Genomic DNA, 13,127 nt, shown 5'->3' on the forward strand with positions numbered 1-13,127 from the left:
CTCTGAAACCCACAGTTATCAACAAAGAGAACAAGAACTACAAACCCACATCTTCAAGAAATAAGGAAGTGGCTAAACCTCCAAAGTACAGCATTTGAACAATACATCCAAATATGGTGAACCTTGACCCAATGGAGGAAAAACATTGAGAGCCAGGGTATACAGTTCCAGATTTTAAGTAGACTGCAGCAACTACCATTTGGAGAAGGTGGACAGTCCAGGGGAAAACTGGGCACATCCTTGGTGGGTGAGGCGGGGAGGAGATGAGTAAAGTTTCCTACTGCAGAAAAGCAGAAGGGAAGGTTCAGAAGAGGAATCCCATATTTTCCTAATGTCCTGCAAACTATCCTCTTTACAATGAGAAATAGTCTGGAGATAAGGGAATGGAAACAGGAGAAAACAACACTCAAGTGCTTAACATACATAGATCTATATGTACATACTGCAACACCAGGAACCACATAGATGTCTCTGAGTGAAATGCTCACCCCAAAGTGGGCAGCATACCATGCTTGCAGAGAGACATACCCAGTCACAGGAAGTAGCAGACATGGTGCATCAGGCCACAAATGAAAGAAAGAAAGAAAGAAAGAAAGAAAGAAAGAAAGAAAGAAAGAAAGAAAGAAAGAAAGAAAGAAGGAAGGAAGGAAGGAAGGAAGGAAGGAAGGAAGGAAGGAAGGAAAGAAAGAAAGGAAGGAAAGAAGGAAGGAAGGAAAAAAGAAGAAAATTTCACATTCTCTGCTCACTGACATCTCTTTTTCAACCAAGTCCCCCATCCTGGGCTTGAGTGAACAGCAGCCCTAGAAGGAATGGTCTTAGTTTAAAAATGAGAAGCAAGTAGAAAGAATCCACATGAATGCTCTTCATGGATATTATTTGAAAACAATACTTAGGGATAGGCATAACAAGCAGAGAGCAGAAGAAAAATGCACATTAGAAGAATTATTCCAGGAAACAGAAAAATAAAATTTAGAAGAAAGACTATTTCTATACTTGCAAAATATTTTAAAGAAATGATAACTGTTAAAAAAGTTTCAAAGAGAAAATATTGATTAAATAAAATAAGAAAACCCCATGTAAAGAGTTGAAAAGCAACCTGGCAGACCTTAGCAATAAACTAAAATTTAGCAAAGAAACTACCACAGAATTTAGCAATAAATCTACAATTAAAGAGGGAAAGAAAAAAACAGTGAGTAACTGAAAACAAAATCAGCGATACAGAGAATAAACATGAAAATATTATATAAAATACAATGGAAAAGAATAAGATAAAAGTGTTTCAAGAAAAGATGAAACAGAGAGAAACAAATCCTCATAAACAGAATTGCATTCCTGAAAATGGGAAGAGATAATGAAACTCCCAAATGTTCAGTGATATGAAGGAGGAAAAGATTTCTAAAATAAGGAACTAAATCTGTACATGGAAAGATATTCCAAGAAAAACTATAGAGAATGAAATATATCTTTGTAAAGTTAGTGAATGTCAACAATGACTAAACAAGGGTTTCTGTGGACACAATGGTAGGAGGAAGTCACCTCTGAGGGGCGCAACCTCACAGACCACTGAGTTTTCCAGGGCAGCAATCACTGCCAGAAGACAGTAGAGCAGTACCTATGGGCCCAGAAGGGGAAAAGGTAGTGTGACCCAGGGATTACATGGCCGAGTTGTTACTTTGTTGTTGATAGATGACCGCAACAGATCTATTCCACTTGTAAAGGCTTGAAGAATATAATGACCATGAAATCTCTTGAAAAGAAAATCCTTGAAGATAAGATAAAATACAGCCAAACAAAAAATGGAACTAAATCGCTGAAAGCTGAAAAGGAGTTGGGGAATGGCAATGAACCCTGAGACCACTGAGAAATAGAAACAGGGCCAAACAACTGTGGAGCTTATCATCACATAATATGAGGTAATAGTACAGGCCTGTGTTATAAGAAAAATAATTATTAGGATGATTAAGTGTATTTTTTGGTTATAGTAGGAACTATAAGTGTCTTCACACTCTCCTTTTTATAGTTGGGAGTAAATAAATGCTGTCTAAAAGTTTAATGAATCATCACAGAGACATTTAAATAATGTACCTAGTGTTATTTTTTAATTTCTAAAAAGAGAAAAAATTCATAAAGTGTCACTATTAAAAAAGAAAGAAAAAAACTTGCCAACGGGACCAAAAGTAATTATAAATCTTCCCTATTAGCATAATGAAAAAACCCAGAAATACACCAAACAAAAGAAAAAAGAACACACAGCACACATTGCAACTATAGTTGGGAAGAGGAAGTAATAAAATCAAGACTTTATATTACAAAATAAATTTACAGCATTAAGGCTAAACTATTATACTATAAATATAAATAAAACACCAATAACAATATAGTCTCGGAATGACTTTAAAAGTTGTGAACTACAGGCTATTTACAAGACATACACCTGGAACAAAATGGCAAGGCAAAAATATGTTAGACAAAGGCAAACAAAATAAAGTAGGGTTCATGATGTTTAGGTAAGTTGGAATAAAAAATTAACTAATTCCTAACAAGAATGGTTAAAGTAATGTATACAAACCCAAATGAAGACCTAATGTTCATTTATTTTCTTCCTACTAAATAGCAAAATATTTGAAAGTGCAAAACTGTGGAAAATATACAAAGATCTGGCATGGAAAAAATAGTAGTTAGAATGTTTAACTCAATTCTTTTATTCCATAAAAGATCATGTAGTCAAAAAATTAATAAGGCTCTTAATCTAAGCAACGTTATTATTAGGGTTGACCACACACATACACTTATCCAACTTTACACACTGAAATTAGTGAATTAAATTCGATTTAAATGCCATTAAATTTTAACCAAACATATATAGCCCCCAAAGGAATTTAAGTAAATTACAAAGAGAGGAAAAATTCAGGCAAACATTTAAATCACTAATATTGAATTAAAAATTGAAATGTAAGGGTTAACTTGGCTGAGATTAACTTCTTACAGCCTAACATTCCAGAAAAAGGATTGGCCTTCTGAAAAGATCCATGGAATCCAGCTTTAGCCCAGTACCCAGGCAAGCAATCCTGGACATTCTCACATTTGAAACCTTGTCCTCAATCATGCCAGGAAAGAGGCTGATGTTTTCCTAACCATGAATGCTGATGCACTGATTCTTTCACATCATACAGCTACAACCCAAAGGCTTGGACTCCAGCCTCCAGCCATGCTAGGTACAGGCTGGTGAGTCTCCCAAACTGAAGCCAAAGCTCTGCTACTTTGTATTACTATTGTGTCCTGGTTCTTGGCCCCAGTAGGGGAGGGGCTGGTACTTCCCTAATCAGGAAGCTGAAAAGCTCCAGATCTAAAGGTTGGGGTCACTTGCCCAGAGTCAACATCCAAACCTTCTAAATCCATATGTTATGTCCTAGAATGCAGTGGCAAGAAGACCTCTGCACCCGTTTCTGCTGCTGTCTCCATGAGATTTCCTCAGTGGATATTCCCTCTACTGAGTGGTATATGTGTTCTCTGGTCATTTGACCTTGATTGCATGATATTAATGACAGAAAAAATGAAATTTTTTATAAGCTAGAAATTTTTGTCATGCTGTCTTAACTCTTGGTTAAAAGGAAAATGAAAACTAATGTTGGAGAAAAATAGTTAAACACTGTGTATATAAATACATATACATATAATATATATATATATATATATATAAACCTAAGAGTCTACAGCTAAAGCTAAGCTCAGAGAAATGGGTATATTATATTGTATATGTATAATATGTATATTACAAAATACTTATATAACCTAAAAAAAAGGGATGGCAATATATTTATTTTTTTATCTTAAGAATTAAGAAGAGTCTACAGTCTAAAGCTAAGCTCACAGAAATGGGCATATTATATTGTATATGTATAATATGTATATTACAAAATACTTATATAATCTGAAAAAAGGGATGGCAATATATTTATATTTTGTTATCTTAAGAATTAAGAAACAGATCTGAAAAAAAGAATAAAATTAAAAATGGAATGTAATGCACTAGAAAACAAACAAAAAATTTTGAATAAACCAAGAGCTGTTTCTCTGAGAAAATAAGGAATCACACTATTAAATTAGTAGCTAACTGTGTTAGGCCATTCTCCCATTGCTATAAAGAAATACTTGAGACTGGATAATTCATCAGAAAAGAGGTTTAATTGGCTTATAGTGATGCAGGCTGTACAGGAAGCATAACACTGGCATCTGCTTCTGGGGAAGCCTCTGGAAGCTTCCAACTATAGCAGAAGTTGAGGTAGGAGCTTTCATGGTAGGCACGTAGCAAAGCAGGAGCAAGAGAGAAGGGGGGAGGTGCCACACACTTTTATATGACGAGCTCTCGCAAGAACTTGCTCACTATCATGAGGACAGCAATAAGGGGATGGAGCTAAACCATTTAGGAGAAATCCACCCCCTTGATGTAATCACCTCCCAACAGGCCCCACCTCCAACACTGGAGATTACATTTCAATGTGAGATTTGGGTCGGGACACACATCCAAACTATATCACTCACCTTATTAAAAATTGTTAAAAGCTCACACATTTAAAGGAAATTAAAAATGAGAGTGGGAAAATGTTTTCATTTATTCAGCAAATGTTTACTGAGTTCTTGTTACATGCCAGTGTGCCAGGCATATTTCCAGGTAGGATCTGAGTATATAATGGAGAATAAGACAGAGAAAAAAAAATACCTCATGAAGCCTGCATTCCCACAAGGATGATAAGTTCTAATAACAAAACTACACGGGGAAGTAAGAAGATATGCTGCGTGATTGTTTTTGGGAGAATTGTAATTTTCCATAGGGTGGCCAAAGAAGTGATATTTGAGGAGTGACCTAAGGTTGGTAAGGAGTAGGCTCAGTGTGCATCTGGAGGAGGTGATGCAACCCAGAAGGAAAAGCAAGCCTCAGGTCCTGTGGCAGAAGCGGGTCTGGCCATTTGAAGGCTTTTGCAAAGAAGTGACATGATCTGACTGACCTTTTATGGAGATCAATTTGGTTGCTGCTTCAGAATAGACTGAGTAGGGGGCCAAGAAAAGAACAGGAAAATCAATTTACTGAGAAAGATTATTACTACTGGGAAATAAATAGATCTTATTTATATAAAACAAGAAATCTATAATTCACTCACTTCCTTTATGTGAGGTAGGAATTAGGGATCACACTCCTGGAAAAGAAAGAAGGCATTGACTCAATCAGTTCTCCTTGCAAACAGAGTAATGGCAGACCTCCTGGCCACAAAGCAAAGTAGTTTGTGCTAGCAGAACTGTCGTCATCTCTGGAGTGCTTTCACCAGGATTTATCTGGTTTCTAGCATTGCTTGTGGTAAACAAACCTGCATTTGTAGATTTACAAGGCATAGCCTCACTGGAATATGTTATGCATGCTACTTTTCATGATCAAGATCCTCCCGTCTGTGAAAATCTGGTTACTGCAGACCTCACTTAAAACCAGATCTGCCACCCTGGGCTAGAGTGCTTCTGAGGAGAGAAGGAAGGATCAGGCAATCCCAAGTAATCATGAGATGAAACAGAGAGAGAGAGAGACACTGATACTGAATCTCTCTCTCTGTTTCATCTCATGAGTACTTGTACCCTTTATATTATTATTATTAGTGTAGCTTGATACTGAATAACACCTTTGATTTGGTGGCCTGATTTGATAAACCAGTCCTTGGTGTTATTTAAGCAATAATCCAGGTGAGAGATGATGGTCACTTGAACGAGGGTAGTGGCAGAAAACATGGTGAAAAGTGGTAGGATTTTGGATCTAGTCAAAGGTAGAACTAACGGAATTTCATTAGGAATTGAATGAGGAATATAACAGAAGGTAAATAAGCAAGGGTGATTCCAAGGTGCTTGGCCTGGGGACTAAGAATAATTTACTTATTATCACACATGGAGGAAACAATAGGAGGGCATATTTGGGATAAAGGAATTAAGAGGTTAATATTGGACATATTAAGTTTGAGCTGCTCAAAATGTGGCTAAGTGGAGCTGTGTAAACAGTTGGTTATGGGGGTCAGGAATTCAAGGTAGAGCTTCTGGATAGCCATATAAATTATAGAGCCTCGGCATATAATGATATTTAAAATATGGGATTAGAATGAGGTTGCATGACCACAGAAAGAAAACAGAAGAGGTTCAAGGAGCGAGCCCTAGGACACTCAGTGTTGAGGGGTCAGAGAGATAACGTGAGGCCAAGGAAACACTAAGAAGTGGCGGTCAGTGCTGTAGCAGTCAAACGTAGTCTCAAATGGTCTTAGGTCAGATAAGGAAAGTGCTGAGAATTCACCATTAGTCATCTCAACCAGAGTTGTCAGCTTAAAGTGGTGGGGGTGACAGCCTGGTGGGAGTGAGGTCAAAAGAATACAGGAGGCCATAAATCAGAGACAGCAAATATAGGTCACTCTTTTGAAGACTTTTGCTGTTTAAGGAAGGAGAGAAATGGAATATCAGCAGGGGAGTGAAATAGGACCAAAAGGATTCTCTTTTGAACTTGGGATAAATAATAGTGTATTTACAGTGTGATTAAAAAAAAAAAAGGACTGGAGAGGAGAACTGCTGATGCAGCAGAAAGAAGGAGAATTACCAGAGTCATGTCAGTGAGCAGGGGCAGGGGTACTGTGCAGCAGGAGAGAATTCCGGCCTGTGAGCACAAAAGCAGGAGGTTGGGATGCTTGGGAAGACTCTTTCTCAGTGGGGCAAGGAGCAGAAGTCATTAGCAGAGAGTGACACTCATCTTGCAAGAGGAAAAGAGTGAAAAGAATGGATGCAAAAACAGTCAGGCAGCCATGAGGCAGCCACAGTGGTGACTGGTCCTGAGTTGAAAATGATCTGGTGCAAGGTTGTGTTTTTTTTCTCCAGCCACACCCAGTGGCAGGGTGGGAGCATAGAGGAGGTGGATGGTGGCTTAGCTCAGGGAATGTGACTTGGGGAGAGGCATGGGGGTTGAGTGTGTGCTAGGAAGTGATTTCATTGCTTGATAGTGGATGGAATTTAAGGTAGGTAAGGAGGGAAATACGGACTCGACTTTATACTTTCCGATTTTGGAATCTTGTAGACACAAGATTCTGTGCACTTCCAGGATCTTATCAGTTATAAAATACTCAGAGCTGTTTGCCTTTCATGTGTGTTTCACAGGACAAATAGTTGATAGGGTCCTCAGATTTCCTCAGGCCTTCCCCACAAGGCTGGACATGATGGCTGCTAAGACATCAGAGAAACATAGGAATCTGTCCTATGTGAGGTTAGTTCAAGGGCAGGAGACCTCATGGCCTCTTATTGTAGGTGATTCATTTTATGCAGGGAAACAGAGTTATCTTTTTCTATCCATACAACTTCTGCTACCTCTTGCTTAAGGAAGAATCTTTTTTCCCCCTTTTGGCTTTTAATTTTTTTTCTTTAACCATGAATAATGCTTTATTCACACCTTGTAAGGGATTATACAGAGAATGACAAGTTTAACTCCTCCTTAAAATGAATTACAATTTTATTTTTAAGAATTTTGTCCCTTTTTAAAGAACAGAGGCCTCGGAATTGTCACTGGAATTAGCATTTATTATGACAAAGCAATGTGGACTGTGATTGTCACTTAGCATTTGAAGATTAGATGATAAAATAATATGATAAAATAATATAATAAAATTTCCAAGTTGGAAAAAGCTAGTGTGTCTACATTACTACATGTCTTTCAAACTTGTTTTATGTAGCCAATTAGGCAAATTTCAAGTGTTAGCTGGCAGGCCTGTTTGTAAACGTAGAAAAATATGTCATTCATGGAGATTCTAAAACAAAATGAAACATATTCTTAATTTCTTTGTAATCAAACATACTTAATGAGAAGTCAACAAGCCTAATCTTTCTAGAATGCTTACATGAATACTATTTTGAGTTCACTAATGTTTGTTTTATTAAGGGGAGAAGGTTTAATGCTGATGTTGAACAATGCTTTCGAGGAATCTCTAATGTAGGACTCATGATGCCAGTTGCTGAGTGATTATTTGAAGTAAATGATTTCCATTGTATTCAAACCCACCAGCTTTTTTGAATTTATTAATGAATGTTGATGAGTTAACTGATGACAGAGGCTTATAGAAACAATTTATTAATTTGCACAACCACATTTAATGTGCCCCTATTGTGAATCAGGCACTGCACTGCATATGGAATACACAACCATGAACAAGCTTTGGCCTTCATCCTTGAATTTGGGAGACAGATATACAAACCTTGAATTACAAAACAGTTAATAAATGCCATTAGATACATTTGAAAAATGATATTGGAAGAATTAAGATGGTAATAAAATGCTTCCTAGAAAGGTGGTCTAATATTAACAGAATATGAAACATAAATTATTTTTGTATAATTACTTTTTTTTTCAATTCAGCAAAGCATTTAGGGGACATATGGTGACAGCCCTTTGGAGGAAATGGGGTCTTGCAAATACAATTACAATGAGAGTAATATCTTCTGGGAGATGATATACATATGTGATAAACAATGTAGTACAATTTACTAACATAATGCTGAAATAAAAAAGAGTTCAAGTAGAAGAATAATAAGTATGGGTGGTATACTCAGGAACTAGTAGGAAAACCAGGCTCTGGATTTAGGAAGGATGCTATTTAAAGGAGGTGAAGAAAATGGACTCTAAGGATCTAATGCCTCTCCTGATCCTAGACATTAAACAATTTGGACACTGCTATCATGGTTTATTAAGATCTTTTTCTTGGAGCAATATCAATACACACAACAGGATTTGAAAAGATTTTAAAACATGATTTTACAGTACATTTTATCTACTTCTCAAGGTAGAGCTATGTCCCACACACAAATCTGATAAAGATACAATATCAAAAATAAAAATTGTAGGTCCATTTTACTTGTAAATATGGAAAAAATCTAGATAAAATATTTCCAAACAAAATTTAGCAGCATATTAAAAAACACATACATTTTATTTCAGATATACTAGAAGGCTTTATCATTAGGATTCTATCAATAAAAATCCTTATATTAACACATTATTGGAAAATGTGAAATTATTAAAACATTTTATTAATACAGCCTTTGATAAAATTTCAGTCATGATTTAGATGAAAAAACTCTAAGTAAAATAGAAAAGAAAAATCATTTTCTTAAGCACATTTAAACTCAGCACAACTTAAACCTGACCTCAACTAATATATTAAATTGAACAACATAATAGGTTTTTCCATCATATTGAGAAACAGACATGACACCTGCTAATTGTGTTATTATTCAACAATGTTTTTGGCAGTTTTCACTAACACAAGATAAGAAGGAGAAATAAGCAGTATAAATATTGAAAAAGAAGGGACAAATTCTAATTATTTGAAGATAATTTGATTGTAAACTGAGATAACACAATAAATTCCATTAAAACAATGTATTGACCTAAATAAAAGTTTCAGTATGATAGGTGGGTCCAAGGTTTTATATGCACTAGGGAAACTAATTAGAAAGAAGGTATTGCAATAGGAAGAATACTCCAGTCTCAGAAATTCACAAGCACTTCAGAATCAAGCAGAAAAAGATTTTTCTGTTCTAGGGTAAAGGAGGAGCAAGCAGAGATTAGTAGAATGTTTAGAGGCAAGGATGGACAAGCAAAGGGAAGAGAACAGTGGGGTCTCACAGGAAAAGGGCTCTCTGTGTGGCCTCCCGGTTCCCAGGGGAAGCTCAGAAAGGGGATGCTTTCTACTTTTTTTGTGCTTTCTCAGGCTTGGGGAGCAAGAGGAGTTCAGGGCCCTGTAGGAAAGAAAGAAACCTGACCAAGGATTGGTCAAGACAAAGCAGAAGATAAGAAATGAGCAACTCCATACATTGGATGTACATTTTTAAAATCTTATATTCTGAATTAAGAAATATATAGATACATCTATGACAAACTTTAACAGTGGTATAAGACCTATATGATGATAAGTACAAAGCTGGTAATTAAGACCATGAAAGAAAGCCAGAATACATACCATGTTCCTGCATGATCAGCCCTAACGCTATAAAAATGTACATTCTTACCACATTGAATATCTGCTTAATACAACCAGAATCCCCCACATTTTTGCAAGTGATATGCTCATTTTAAACTTTATGTGGAAAAATAAATGTTGCTGGAAAGTTTTAAAAATCTAAAAAAATTCTTGGTGGGGATTTGCCCTAATGAATATTAAAATGTCTATAGTGAAAACAATATATTACACACAGCTAACATAGTATTTAATGGAAAAAGACTAAAAGCTTTCTCCCCAAATTAGAAACAGGACAAAGATTCCCACTTCTCCCACTTCAATAAAGCTGGAGGGCAATTAAGCAAGAAAAGAAATATGAGATACTCAGATTGGAAAAAAAAAGAAATAAAACTATTTTTATTTGCAGATATATTGATCATCTATATAGAAAATCCTAAGGAATACACACATACACATAAATCGTTAGAATTAATAAATACGTTCAGCAAGGTTTCAGAATACAAGGTTTTCAGAATACAAAAATCAACTTTATTTCTATACACCAGCAAAAAGCAATCCAAAAATAAAATTAAAAAATAATTCTATTTATAATGGCATCAAAAGGAATAAAATACTTGAGAATAAATTTAAGAAAAGAAGTGTAAGCCTTGTACAGTGAAAACTACAAAACAGCATTGCTAGAAACTGAAGAAGATGTAAATGAAAACACAACCTATTTTCATGGATTGGGAGATGTAATATTGTTAAGATGGCAATACTCTTCAAACTGATCTACATATTTAATGCAATTCTGTCAGAAACCCAGATGGATTTTTTTTTTTGCATAAAGATGGCAGGCAGACTTTAAAATTCATATGGAAATGCAAGGGACCCAGATTGGCCCAAATAATCTTGAAAACAACAAAGTTGGAAGACTCACTTCTTAATTTCAAAACAATAAAAATGACAGTAATCATGACTGTAGTACTGGCATAAGGATAGATACGTAGATCAATGGAATGGAATTGAGAGTCCAGAAATGGACCTATACATTTATGGGCAATTAATTTTCAACAAAGGTTCCAAGATAATTTACTGGTGAAAGAATAATCTTTAACAAATGGTGAGGGGGCAACTGGATATAAGCATGCAAAAAGAAGCTGGGGTCTTTCCTTACACCATAGTCAAAGTTAACTCAAAATGGATCAAAGACCTAACTGTAAGAAGCTAACACTATGAACGCTTAGAAGACATAGGTGTAAATCTTAGTGATCTTAGATCAAATGAGGGTTTCTTAGATGTGATATTTAAAGCACAAGCAATCAAAGAAAATAGATAAATTGGTGTTCATCAAAATTTTTAAAGACTTGTGTATTTCAAAGGACACTATCAAGAAAGTGAACATACAATCTACATAATGGGAGAAAATATTTGCAAATCATATATCTGATAAAGGCCTAATATCGAAAACATGTAAAGAATTCTTACAATTCAACAACCGAATGTCAAGTCAATTTAAAAACTGTAAAAGAAACTTTAATTGGCATTTCTTCAAAAAAGATATGCAAATAGCCAGTAAGCACCTAAAGAGGTGTTCAACGTCATTAGTCATTAGGAAAATGCAAGTCAAAACCACATTAAGATATCACTTTACCCAAAATATTATTTTTAAAAAGATAGAAAATAAGAAGTGTGGGTGAGGCAACTTGAAGCCTCATATATTGCTGGTGGGAATGTAAAATGTTGTAGTTGCTTCGGAAAGCAATTTTATAGTTCCTCCAAAAGTTAAAACATAGACTTACTATATGACTCAGCAATTCCACTTGTAAGCATATAACCAAGAGAATTAAAAAGATGTTTATGCAAAAACTAGTATATGAATGTTCATTGCAACATTTTTTTTACCCAAAAAGTAGACACAATCTGAATGTCTATCAGCTATTGGATAAACAAAATGTTGTGTATCTATACCATAGAACATTATTCAGCCATAAAAAGCGATGGGTATTGATATGTGCCACAATATGAATAGACCTTGAAAACATTTTTGTAGGTGAAAGAAGCCAGACACAAAAGGCCACAAACTGTGTAATTCCATCCATTAATATACGAAATATTCACAATAAGTAAATTCGTAGAGCCAAAAAGTAGACTATTGGTTGCCAGGAGATGGGGGAAAGAGAAATGGGGAGTGACTGCTGGTGGGTATAAGGTTTCTTTTTGGGGTGATGAATACATTCCAGAATTAGATAGCTGGTGACAGTTTGCATAACTTTGTGAATCCACTAAAAACCACTGAATTGTACACTTTAAAATGGTGAATTTTATAGTATATGAAAAATACCTCAATTTTAAAAGAAGAAAAACATAATGCCAAAAAAGTTTTAAAAATCCTCACTAGCACTTGTTATTTTCCATCTTTTTAATAATATTTTGTGTAAAGTTGTATCTTAATGTGGTTTTGATTTGCATTTTCCTAATGACTAATGACGTTGAACACCTCTTTAGGCGCTTAGTGGCTATTTGCATATCTTCTTTGAAGAAATGCCAACTAAAGCTTTTTGTTTCATTTTTAAATTGACTTGCCATTATTGTTGTGTGGTGCCAGCAGAACAATAAATAAATACATTACTCCAGAAAGAGAAACAAATACACATGGAAATTTATTTGTTAAAGGTTGCATTACAAATCAATGAAAGAACTGAATTATTGATAACTCATATTAACAAAATTTCCTTTTCAAGTGGAAGAAAGTAAAATTAGAATCTCACTTTTCACCATATAAATGAACCCCAGTGGGATCTCCATATAACAAATAAAACTATAATATATTAGAATAAAATTTAGGAAATATTTGTGTAGCCTGAGTGCAGGATGAGCTTTTTAACTGAAAAAGTTAAAATCTATAAGGGAAATAATTTTTGATTTCTTAAAATAACATTTAAAAAGTGCATGGCAATAAACATCATACACGATATCAAGAGAAAATGGAGAGTAAATATCTGCAGTTGAGGTATCAAAGTATTGTTCACTCTAATACAAAGCTGAGAAACAGAAACTTTTAATGACCAATACAGAGATAGGAGGTGGAGACATGACATTTTGTAAGCTGGAAAATATAAAAGT

The 13,127-nt window shown here is 35.1% G+C and overlaps 1 long non-coding RNA gene across 2 annotated transcripts in view; it reads left to right on the top strand.

Moving 5' to 3' along the window:
- The first annotated feature begins 694 nt into the window (after positions 1-694).
- Positions 695-13,127, top strand: part of LOC105375852 (uncharacterized) — a 32,348-nt gene continuing 19,915 nt past the window's right edge. For both annotated transcript variants that reach the window (XR_928915.2, XR_928916.2), the window contains exon 1: positions 695-1,913. This is a non-coding gene — a long non-coding RNA (uncharacterized LOC105375852). The remainder of the gene's footprint in view (positions 1,914-13,127) is intronic.

This window comes from Homo sapiens, chromosome 8 (genome assembly GCF_000001405.40).
Source record: "Homo sapiens chromosome 8, GRCh38.p14 Primary Assembly".
In the NCBI taxonomy this organism is placed as follows: domain Eukaryota; kingdom Metazoa; phylum Chordata; class Mammalia; order Primates; family Hominidae; genus Homo; species Homo sapiens.